Genomic DNA, 12,259 nt, shown 5'->3' on the forward strand with positions numbered 1-12,259 from the left:
TGCTAATGCACTGATCTTAAAATAGGAGGGTTAGAGGAGTAATGTCAGCAAGATGGAAGACTAGGAAGCTTCCAGAAATCCCCCATATAAATGTAGAATAAACATCTAAATACTGGCTAAAATAGCCTTATAGGAGCCCTTGAAATCAGTAAAGATTACAGCAACCAAGCAAAAGCCCAATCAAGAAAAAGTTATATTCAAAACAGTAAAAAAAGTTCATGGCATTTTAATTTGCCCTTGCCCTACTCCCTCCCTGGAACTGTACAGTATGATTTGGGGGAAGCAGCAACCCAGTCCCCAGTTACCCTATGGGGCAACTGAGCAGAGAGAGCAGGGTAGGCCAAATTTGCAACATTCTAATCTGTCCAGGGATTGCCTGATTAATCTCTGTGTCACCTAACTGAGAGCTCAGATGGCCAAATGAAGCACACCTCAGACTGGACAAAGCTGTGAAATGTAACTTATGAAAGCTTCAGGGGGATTACAGACCTGCAGATGCCTGGGGCAAGAGGTTAGTGATTGAGAAATACAGTAGAACTGCTAAGACCCTGGGAAGAGGCAGGGGTGACACTCACAGAAATGACGTCATGAAAAGCAGCTGTGTATAAGGTGGACTGGAGAAAGGCATGCACACAGGGAAGACATATGCCCAGAAAAGACCTGAGAAGACTTTAAGTGTTCATGATGAACTGATACTTGAAGATCTTCCCCTATACAGAGCCAGTCTATAAAGACAGAGGTGGCTGTTTTTTCAACTGCCAGTTTTCAACGAAAGGTCACAAGAAACGAGAAAACATGGCCCACTCACAGGCACAAAATAACCCTCTAAAAGTTGTTCCTGAAGATAAAAGGCATCAGGCTTACTAGCAAATACTTTAAAACTACTGTCTTAAATATGCTTAAAGAGCAAAAGAAAAACACAAAGAACCCCCCGCCCAAACCAGGAAAATGATATATGAGCAAAATGAAAATATCAACAAACAGAATTTATATAAAAATAACCAAACAAATTCTGGAGCTGAAAAATCTCACATCTGAATTGAAAAATTCATCAGAATTCATCAACAGATTCAAACAGGCAGAAGAAGGAATCAGTGAACCTGAAGACAGGCCCTACTGAATCTGAGGAGCAAAAAGAAAAAAGAATAAAGAAAAGTGAACAGAGCATAAGGAATTTATGGGGTGCCATCAGGTAGACCAATACATGCATTATGGGGCAGGTGGGTCTTAGTAGGATAAGACATAGAGAAAGGGGAAGGAGATAGGCAGATTATTTCAAGAAATAATGACCCAAAACTTCCCAAATTTGACGAAAGACATAGACACGTAAATCCAAGAAACTTAATAAAATCTGAAGAAATACACAATAAAATACATAAATTGTTGAAAGACAAAAAGAGACTCTTGAAAGCAATAAGGAAAAAGCAACTTATCACATACATGGTGCTACAGTTTGAATGTCTGTCCCCTCTAAAACTCATGTTGAAATTCAGTTGACACTGTAACACTAGTAAGATGTGAAACTTTTGAGATGACTAGGCCATGATGGCTCTACCCTCATTGGTGGGATGAATGTCACCAGAAAATGGGAAGTTCAGGTTCCCTTTGTCTCTCTCTCTCACCCCTGTTGCTCTTCTGCCACGTGATGCTTGTCACCATGGGATCACACAGTAAGAAGGTGACATGGAAGAAGACCCTCACAATATGCCAGCACCTCGATACTGGATTTCTTGGTCTCAACAACTGTTAGCCAGTAAATTTCTGCTCAGTATAAATTGCCCAGTCTCAGGCATTCTGTTAAAGCAGCACAAGATACTTCCTCAAGGAAATTATCAGCATATTTCTCAGCAGAAGTTGTACAGTCCAGAAGTTAGTGGGATGGTATAATTAAAATGCTGAGGAAAAAAAACAACCAAAAATTCTATATCTAACAAAACTGTCCTTCAAAAGTGAGGGAGAAATTAAGATATTCCAGATAAAAGCTGAAGGACCTGCCCTACAAGAAATGCTAAAGGGAATACTTCAAAAGGAATAAAGGATGCTAGACAGTAACTAGAAGCCATGTAAAAATACAGATTTTCCATAAAGGCAAATCTATGGATAAATATAAAAATCAGTTTTTGGCTTATAACTTCACTTTTTATTCTTCTACATAATTTAAAAGACAAAAGCATAAAAATAATTATATAGTAATGGGTACACAATATATAAAGATGTAACTGTAACATCAATAATATAAAATGGTGGGTGGTGTTGTAAAGGAGTAGAGTTTTTAAATTGTGATCGGAATTAGCCGGTACCAATTTAAAATACACTGTTACACATGTAGGATGCTATATGTAATCCCCATAGCAACCACAAATATCAATAGAATGTACACAAAAGGAAATGGGAAGGAAATCAAAATATTTCACTACAAAAATCAACTACACAAAAAGGCAATAATGGAGGAAATGAAGGACAAAAAAAGCAATAGGACTTAAAAGAAAATAAATGGCAATAGTCAGTTCTTCCCTATCAGTAATTACTTTAGTTGTAAATGTATTAAACTCTGCAATTAAAAAACATAAATTGGCAGAATTGATTTTTTAAAAATATGATTCAACTAGAGAATATCTACACAGACTCACTTTAGATCTAAAGACACAAATAGGACGCTGGCCACAGTGGCTCACACCTGTAATCCCAGCACTTTGGGAGGCAGAGAAGAGCAGATCACTTGAGGTCAGGAGTTCGAGACCAGCCTGGTCAACATGGTGAAACCCTGTCTCTGCTAAAAATATAAAAATTAACTGGGCATGGTGGCGTGCATCGGTAATCCCAACTACTTGGGAGGCTGAGGCACAAGAATTGCTTGCAGGAGGCAGAGGTTCCAAGGAGCCAAAATCATGCCACTGCACTCCAGCCTGGACAACAGAGCAAGGCTCCATCTCCAAAAAAAAAAAAAAAAAAAGACACAAACAGGGCCAGGTACAGTGGATCACACCTGTTAACCCAGCACTTTGGGAGGCCAAGGCAGGCAGATCACTTAAGGTCAGGAGTTTAAGACCAGCCTGGCCAACGTGGTGAAACCCCAACTCTACTAAAAATACAAAAATTAGCTGGGCATGGTGGTGCACACCTGTAGTTCCAGCTACATCTACTCAGGAGGATGAGGCAGGAGAATCACTCTAACTTGGGAGGCAGAGGTTGCAGTGAGCCGAGATTGCGCCACTGCACTCTAGCCTGGGTGACAGAACAAGACTCCATTTCAAAAAAAAAAAAAAGATAAAGACACAAATAGGTTGAAAGTAAAATAATATAAAAAGGTACCTCTGATTCTAATGTTGGGTGTGTTAGGCCTTAGGTGTAGGTCTCAGGAAACAGAATCTTTCTGACTCCTCTTGTCTTCCCTTCACCTGTCCCAAGGTAGGATCTAATCTTCCCTCACCTCTTCCATGAAACCAGTCCCTGGTGCCGAAAAGGTTGGGGATGGCTGCTTTAGAATAAACTGGCAAACATTAAGTGCTTTCCTGAGCTCTGTAAGCCACTCCAGCAAATTAATCCATCCCAAAGAGGGAACCCCAACTTGAAGCCTGTCAATCAGAAGTTCTGGAGGCCCAGAGTTGTAACTAGTGGTTGGTGGGGGAGCAGTCTTGGAAACTGAGCCTTCAACCTGTGGGGTCTGACATTATGCCCAGGTAGATAGTGACAGAATTTAATTGGAGGATACCCAGCTAGTGTCTACTGCTTGCTGGTGGGGAGAATCCCATACAGTTTGGTTACAGACATCTTCTATGTTGATGACTGTCTTGGTGGTTTGAAAGCAGAAGAAAAACATGGTTTGATGGCTCCACCCCCGCAAAACAGCACCCTATGCAAATAGTAATAAAAAGAGATTAAGACCAAGCGCGGTGGCTCACGCCTGTAATCCCAGCACTTTGGGAGACCAAGGTGGGCAGATCATGAGGTCAGGAGATCGAGATCATCCTGGCCAACATGGTGAAACCCCATCTCTATTAAAAAATACAAAAATTAGCTGGGCATGGTGGTGTGTGCCTGTAATCCCAGCTACTCGGGAGGCTGAGGCAGGAGAATCACTTGAACCAGGGAGTCAGAGGTTGCAGTGAGCCAAGATCGCGCCACTGCACTCCAGCCTGGTGACAGAGCGAGACTCCATCTCAAACAAAAAAAAAAAAAAAAAGAAAAAAGAGAGAGATTGGGGTGACTATAGCAACATTAGACAAAATAGACTTTAAGTCAAAAACTGGTATAAGGTACATGAACACTGTATAATGATAAAAGCATGAACTCACCAAGAAGATATACACATTTTTCTCAAGTGCACATGGAACATTTTCCAGGACAGACTATGGTAGGCCAAAAAATAGGTCTTAATAGTTTAAAAACATTTAAATCATAGAAAATACCTTTTCTGATAAAAATGTAATCAAACTAGAAATAAACAGCAGAAGAATCCACATATATGTGGAAATCAAACAACCTTTCTCTTTTTTTTTGAGACTGAGTTTTGCTCTTGTTGCCCAGGCTAGAGTGCAATGGCATGATCTCGGCTCACTGCAACCTCTGCCTCCTGTGTTCAAGTGATTCTCCTGTCTCAGCCTCGTGAGTAGCTGGGATTACAGGCCCCCGCCACCAGCCTGGCTAATTTTTGTATTTTTAGTAGAGACAGGGTTTCACCATGTTGGCCAGGCTGGTCTTGAACTCCTGACCTCAGGTGATCTGCCCAACTCAGCCTCACAAAGTGCTGGGATTACAGGCATGAGCCACCACACCTGGCCTCAAACAACATATTCTTAAACAAACAATGGATCGAAGAAGAAATTACAAGGTAAATTAGACAGTATCTTTGAATGAAAATACAATATACCAAAATTTATGGCAGCCAGCAAAAGCAGTTCTAGGGGAAATGTATAACTGTAAACACTTCGATTAGAAAAGAAGAAAGATCTCAAATTAATGATGAAACTTTACATCTTAATAAACTAAAAAAAAAAAACCAAAAAACAAAAAACTAACTAAACCCAAAGCTGGCAGAGAAAAGTAACAATAAAGGTTAGGGCACAGAAATAAAATAGAAAATTTTTTAAAAAATAGGAAATCAGGCCAGGCGCGGTGGCTCACGCCTGTAATCCCAGCACTTTGGGAGGCCAAGGCGGGCAGATCACAAGGTCAGGAGATCGAGACCATCTGGGATAACATGGTGAAACCCCATCTCTACTAAAAATACAAAAAAAAAAAAAATTAGCCAGGCATGGTTGCAGGCACCTGTAGTCCCAGCTACTCGGGAGGCTGAGGCAGGAGAATGCCTGAACCTAGGAGGCAGAGCTTGCAGTGAGCCAAGATCGCACCACTGCACTCCAGCCTGGGTGACTGAGCGAGGCTCCATCTCAAAAAAAAAAAAAAAGGAAATCAACAAAATCATGTGTTCTTTGAAAAAAAACAAAACAAAGAAAAAACAAAACAAAACCAACAAATGAAAAAACAAGGGCTGGGTGCAGTGGCTCATACCTGTAATCCCAGCACTTTGGGAGGCCAAGGTGGGTGGATCATCTAAGGTCAGGAGTTTGAGACCAGCCTGGCCAATATGGCCAATATGGTGAAACCCGTCTCTACTAAAAACACAAAAATTAGCCAGGCATCATGGCATGCACCTGTAGTCTCAGCTATTCAGGAGGCTGAATTGCTTGAACCTGGGAGGCAGAGCTTGCAGTGTGCTGAGATCACGCCACTGCACTCCAGCCTGGGCGGCAGAGCTAGACTCTGTCTCAAAAAAAAAAAAAAAAAAAGAAAACAAAAAAACTAACAAATCTTTAGCTAGGTTACCCAAGACAAAAGAGAGAAGACAACTAAAATTCAAAATGAAAGAGGGGATATTGCTGATTTCACAGAAATAAAAAAGATAAGAGAGAACTATGAATGATTGTATGTCAACAAATGGATGATCTACATGCAATAGACAAATACTACAAAAACACAATCTACCAAGGTTGAATCATGAAGAAATGGAAAATCTGAAGCCTATAACTCATCAGGTGATTGAATCAGTAATCAAAAACTTCCCAACCAAGAAAAGCCCAGGACTAGGTGAATTTACTGGTATATTCTACCAACATTTAGGGAAGAATTAACATCAATCCTTCTCAAACTGTTCCAATAAATTGAAGAGGAGGTAACACTTCCAAACTCACTCTACAAGGCCAGCATTGTCTGATACCAAAGCCAAAGACACTGCAATAAAAGAACACTAGCAAACAATATCCCTTATAATATTGATTCAAAAATTCTCAACAAAATACTAGCAAACCAAACACAACAGTGCATTAAAAGATTATCCACCAGGAATAGGTGGGATATATTCCTGGAGAGCAAAGATGGTTCAACATCAATGGTACTGATAGTTCAACACCATTCAACAAAGATGGTTTCAATGCACAAAATCAATCAGTGCAGTACACCACATTGATAGAATAAAGGAAAAATATCAATTATTTCAGAAAATACATTTGACAAAATTCATAAAACACTTCCCTTAATCAATACCTCTAAACTCTATCACATCATAAACTATGCATATACTTTCAACCCCAAAGCATCCTAAAACAACTCCTATTTAAAAATACACTTATATCCATGCTACTCACAAATATACATCCCAAGTATATGCAAGAACCCTAGAAATAAAGAATTAAAATTTCTGAAACCCACATATACATGATATTATTCTATTCTGCTGAGCAGTCTAGGAAGAAAAGAATAAAAAATAAATAAATAAGAAGGAAATAGCCCTCGTGTGCCCCACTGAGGGGGAGGGGTGGGCCGGAGGTGTGGGTGGAGGGTTTGCAGTTCCATTGCAGCAAGGGCTCCTGTGTCCCTGTGCAGAAATGTCACATGGAGTCCTGTCATGTCACATGAGAGCGCAGCACACAGACACTCACAAAGAGAGGGGAAATACACGGTGCCTGGCTGTCTGCCGCCCCCGGCGCCTCCCCCAGCCGCCCTGGCCAGGCCCTTTGTGCACTGCTCCCACTCCCTGGCCCCATACCCTCCCCACCACTGGGTGCCTAAACTTGGCTCAGGCTGCTCAGTAAAGTACAGAACTCGAGTCCCACTGGAACAGAAGATGAACTCAACTGAATTCAGTGAAGATGTAGAAGAACTTCTAAGAAGTGAGAGTGGAGACAGGCCAAAGTTGCTGCTCTAGGCAGCTCCATGAATTCCAGGACTTCTGAGAAACACCCTCTGGAAAGCATCTTCACTGCCCTCCAGGACTTGACTGGTCAGCAATGGCCAGCCAGAGTCCGTCCCCAGCATAGAGAGGAGGCAGCTGATCCCAGAGGTGCTCCTAGCACGAATGTGGAACCTGAGAAAATCTAGCCCTGCCAAGGCAATGGAGAGCAGGCCAGCAGGGCAGGAGCTCAGGCTCTGTGTGGCCAGGCAAGGAGGAGCTCTGCAACCATGCCACCACCCCTTACTACAAAAAGCCTATGTATGGCACCTCACACAAGTTCATGGAGAAGAAGAACCGTCCCTCAGGGGACCTGCTAAACATATATGAGCTCTTCCAGAAGGTAAATGCCAGCAACAGACCCTCGTCACTTAGGCTCCTGAATGAGCCACAGAAGTGGGACTATGGCAGCACTGGGGTGGCCACCAACAGTGACCCTAACATCTACTTCCTGATCCAGAAGATATTCTACATGTTCAACACCCTCAAGTCTAACAGGTCCCAGCTGCACAGCACAATGGACATACTCTCCCTGAAGGTGAACCCCACTGAGATGGTGGCCAAATTCCAGCTGCCCCCACCACCGCATAGCAGCTCATGGGCCGCAGAGCTCAAGCAGATGGTGGACCAGAGCCTGTCGGGTGGGGTCTTGGCAGGCTGCCCACTGGTGCAGCTCTTCCCCAAGCTCTTCAGCTGCAGTTGACTTCTCCCGAGGCTGCAGTGCCTGTAGCTTTGAGGCCAAGCGTAAGTTGGAGTCACTGCACCTGCAGCTCATCCACAACTACGTGGAGGTCTACTACCCCTCGGTGAAGGACATGGCCGTGTGACAGGCCGAGTGCTTGCCCCAGCTGAATAACTTCTTCAGCCACTTCTGGGCCCAGAGGGAGATGGAGAACAGCCAGCCCGGTGGCCAGGCTGCCAGCTTCTTTGAGGCCGAGCAGTGGACCCCGGCCACTTCCTGGACCACAAAGACGAGGAGGACGGCCTGTCTCTGGACCGGAGCAGCACCATGGCCTCAGACCACGTGGTGGACATGCAGGACCTCACCGAGTTCCTGGATGAAGCCTCTTCGCCCAGCGAATATGCTGTCTTCCTCCTCCACTGGCTCTTCCCTGAGCTCTTTGACCACTGCAAGCTGGGCGAGTACTACAGCTGCTATGGGGATGGCAGCAAGCAGGAGCTGGAGCCGCAGAGGCTGCAGATCATCTGCAACTACACAGAGGTCTACTTCTCCCATATGCAGGAGGAGGAGGCCTGGCTGCAGCAGTGTGCCCAGCGCATCAACGACAAGCTCCAGGGCCTGAGGCTGGATGCGGGCAGTGAAGACGAGCCCCCCACGTGATGACTGCTACAACTCCTCCAGCCTCCCGATGACATCTCAGTAATCAGGGTGGAGGATAGCTCCAAGGGCGAGCAGCGCCGCTCCAAGAAGATCTGGCTGGTACTCATCAACCTGGACAAATTGGAGATCCCCCAGCCCAATTTGGAGGTGCCTGGCACCGACTGCCTGCTCAGCAAGGAGCATCTGCACAGCATCTATGAGAGCAGCCTGTCCATTGGCAACTTCGCCTTGCACCTGCTGGTGCCCCTGTTCCCCAAGCTCTTCACCCATGAGAACCTGCACAAGCAGTACAGCTCCAGCGGTTCCCTGGGCAAGAAGCAGCTGGACCTGTCCTGCATCAAGCTCATTCGCCAGTATGTGTGTCTGCTCTACCTCCATGCCAAAAACGACCGCTTCTGGACCCTGGAGTTCATGGGCAACCTGCGCCGGGACACGAGCAGAGGCGCTCCTACCAGCAGCAGTGCAAGGTCCACGTGCTGGCCCCCAGTGCAGAGACATGAGGAGCTATGCAATCAACCCTGAGAGGTTTGAGGAGGAGTTTGAGGGTCCCCCGCTGCCCCCAAGAGGAGCAGGAAGGACTTTTGCAAGATCCCCTTGGACAAGGTGGTGGTCCCTCGCCCAGCTTCCCGGTGCCCTCTCCCTACCTGCTGTCCGACAAGGAGGTGCGCGAGATCATGCAGCAGAGCCTCTCCGTGGGCAACTTGGCTGCAGGGCTCCTCCACTGCCAAGAACCTCCCGCTGCAGTACAATCATTCCCGGGCTTGCAACAAGAAGCAGCTGGACCCTACGCAGCTGTGGCTCATCTGCAGACTTTTTAGTACACTTTTAGTGTGCTCACTTTTAGTACCTTTTAGTTCCCTTTTTTTGGTTGAAAGTGAGACATGATACACTGGGCAAAAGGAACAGAGGTAAAGAGGTCTTTTGTGTAAGGCTCTTGTGTTTATCTGGCTGGTAGTTAGACTGTCTTCACTGTTTGGTGTTGCTGTAGGTGTCAGAGGCAAAATGTACTCAGGTGTCCTTGTTAGTATCTCCCCGCTTGTCTTTGAGTTTCCCTAGAGACTCCTTCTTAAATAAGTGCTGAGACAGTCAATTCCTTCCATTATAATTCCCTTATTATACAAAAGTCCTACTGATGTGGTGAGGAGGCACTTATGTGGGAGAGGAAATGTTCGATAATCCTGTAATTAGGTTCCAGGCACAGTGCACAGTGAGCCTATGCTCCTAGGCTGTGACCTGCACATGTGCTTCTCAGTAGCCCGTGTCCCTGGTGGGACAGGAAGGCACAGGGAACTGGAGTTTGACACTTCTCTTTCCGCAACTCAGTTAGACTCTGATAAAACCCCAATACATTAGGCTCTGGTAAAAATATTTTCTGTTAAGGATAGGTTTTTGCAAAGTAGAACTAATGTTCTGCTTTTATTTCAAAATGGTTACTTTTCCCATCGTCCTGCCAAAATCAGGAGGGGGTTTTTCTCTGATCTACACCCTGAGAATCTGGTAAGGCTACTGAAGGTAAAACTCCTGAAAGTTGGGGCTCTCCTAAGACTGGACATGGAGTTTTTAACTGTCAAGCTCATCCACATTGAACCCTCAGCACTTTGTCAATTACAGTTTAGGTTTTTCTACCCTGGGATTGGCTCCAATAGCCAGCTTTTACATCTGAGCTTCCCTTCAGATTAACCGTGATTCTCTGTATCTGCCTGTCTCCAGTTTTGAGGGTAGTAATCTGCCCTGTGACCTCAATTCTCTGACAGATCTAAGAAGAGTTGTTGACTTTCAGTTTGTTCAGCTTTTTTTTTTCTTGTTTTGAGAATGGGAGTGATGACTTCCAAGCTTCTTATACTCCAGACTGGAAACTGGAAGTCTTTAATTGATCTTGGTTCATTTCATTTCACTCCCATAGCTTGTCTGGGGATGACTTTGGCAACAAAAGCAGCAGCCCATGCCCGTGCACCATCTGGGAGAACAGGGGGGCCCTGATGATGACTCTAGGGCCCTCCATGCCCTACTCGTCTCTCTCTTCAGGAGTGGATATCTGAGGCTCACTTTGGGGACAGGTCAGAGTAAGCCTCCCTCAGGTGTCTGAGGCTTGGATAAAAGGCATCTTGGGTGCAGTCTGTGGGTGTGGAAAGAACAGTGATTGAGCTCTCTCAAGAGAGATCTCAGTTTGAATTTCTGTTCCACTACATACTACCTATGATATCTTTAAAAAGCCACTCAACCCTGGCCGGGTGTGGTGGCTCACGCCTGTATTCCCAGCACTTTGGGAGGCTGAGGCGGGTGGATCACGAGGTCAGGAGAGTGAGACCATCCTGGCTAACATGGTGAAACCCCGTCTCTACTAAAAATTTAAAAAATTAGCTGGGCATGGTGGCGGGTGCCTGTAGTCCCAGCTACTCGGGAGAATGAGGCGGGAGAATGAGGCAGTAGAACGGTGTGAATCCGGGAGGTGGAGTTTGCGATGAGCGGAGATTGCGCCACTGCACTCCAGCCTGGGCGACAGAGCGAGACTCCATCTAAAAAAAAAAAAAACCTACTCAACCCTAATAGGCTGCAGTTTATCTTTAAAAATAAACTAAACCAGGATAAGGATACTGAGCACTTACATTGGTTTCAAGAAACAGGGAAACTAACTGTGCAGGAACTGAGATTTGTTTGATCTGTCGCGTGGACTAGGTATGTATCCCCACCCTTTGGTTTAGAGGCCTGAGAGCATCCAGGAGGACAGGAAATCACCTAACCCCTGGCATAAGGTGTATAACAGGCAGGCCCTCAGGACACAGCCAGCCTGTGGCTGCCACAAAGGAGAATAGTGGCTCTGGGGACAGTGGAGTGGCTAATACTCTAAACAGAACTGCCCAAGCTCCCCTGACCTTCTGGAGAACATGCGTGGAGCACATGCTGTCTTGGTAACTCACTGACCTCTCAGAGTCCTGAGCAGCCCTGCTCTGAGACCCCATAACTGAGCTTACCACCAGGGGAGGGAACACTTTCTGTGGAGACCGCTGAGCTCTAAGGCTGGACACTAGTAGTGGACATATTACTAGGCATGGCAGTACCTCAGTGGTGGAGCTCTGGTCAGAGGCAGGGACTGCTGGAAATACCCCTACAGGAGTGGATACTGGGAAGACACTTTCTTCAGGCCTCACAATATTATTTTGGGGTGAGAATTCCTGCATGAGTAGTAGAGGGTTTAAGCCAGTGAGGTCCTAGTGTTGACATGCATGTGAGTCTATCTGTGCCCCTTGCCTGTGAGGGTACAGGAAATGTGGCCAATACCAAGACTGGGGACAATGTGCACTGAAACTTTTGGATGGCGCCTTGTCCATACAGACATGTGCTAAATGGGAGCTCTCCCGTTTTCCCGTGGTCTCTGAAGGCTGGGGGTAGGCTGTGCTGAGAGGCCTCTAGGAGTCCTGCTGGCTGCACAGGGCTGTGTCCAGCAGGCTTGCAGGAAGGATGGCCCAGAACACTATTTTGAGGCTTATTGCTGGGGCACTAAATCCTGCATCAGCTAAGTAGATAAGGTAATACCAGGCTCTACCAGCTGGAGGAGTACAGACTTCTTGGGGCAGGGTTGGCCAAGGGCCTTAGACAGGAGGGAGCATGTTTATGCAGGATTGGGGGCTTTGGAGATGGGCAGTGGGTCAAGTGCCTGCAGACTTGGGGAAAGCAGGGCCTACGGGGAC

General features: G+C 45.7%; 1 pseudogene, besides 1 other annotated feature; it reads left to right on the forward strand.

Annotated features, from left to right (window-relative positions):
* BEND3P2 (BEN domain containing 3 pseudogene 2) lies at window positions 7,114-9,377 on the forward strand (annotated as a pseudogene).
* Window positions 9,364-9,463: a silencer, noted in NCBI's record as "silent region_20030". NCBI's record gives its function as "represses an Ori minimal core promoter by ATAC-STARR-seq in GM12878 lymphoblastoid cells {active_cell/tissue: GM12878}" and the evidence as "EXISTENCE:reporter gene assay evidence [ECO:0000049][PMID:35858748]".

The sequence above is a fragment of the Homo sapiens genome, chromosome 9 (genome assembly GCF_000001405.40).
Source record: "Homo sapiens chromosome 9, GRCh38.p14 Primary Assembly".
Classification (NCBI taxonomy): domain Eukaryota; kingdom Metazoa; phylum Chordata; class Mammalia; order Primates; family Hominidae; genus Homo; species Homo sapiens.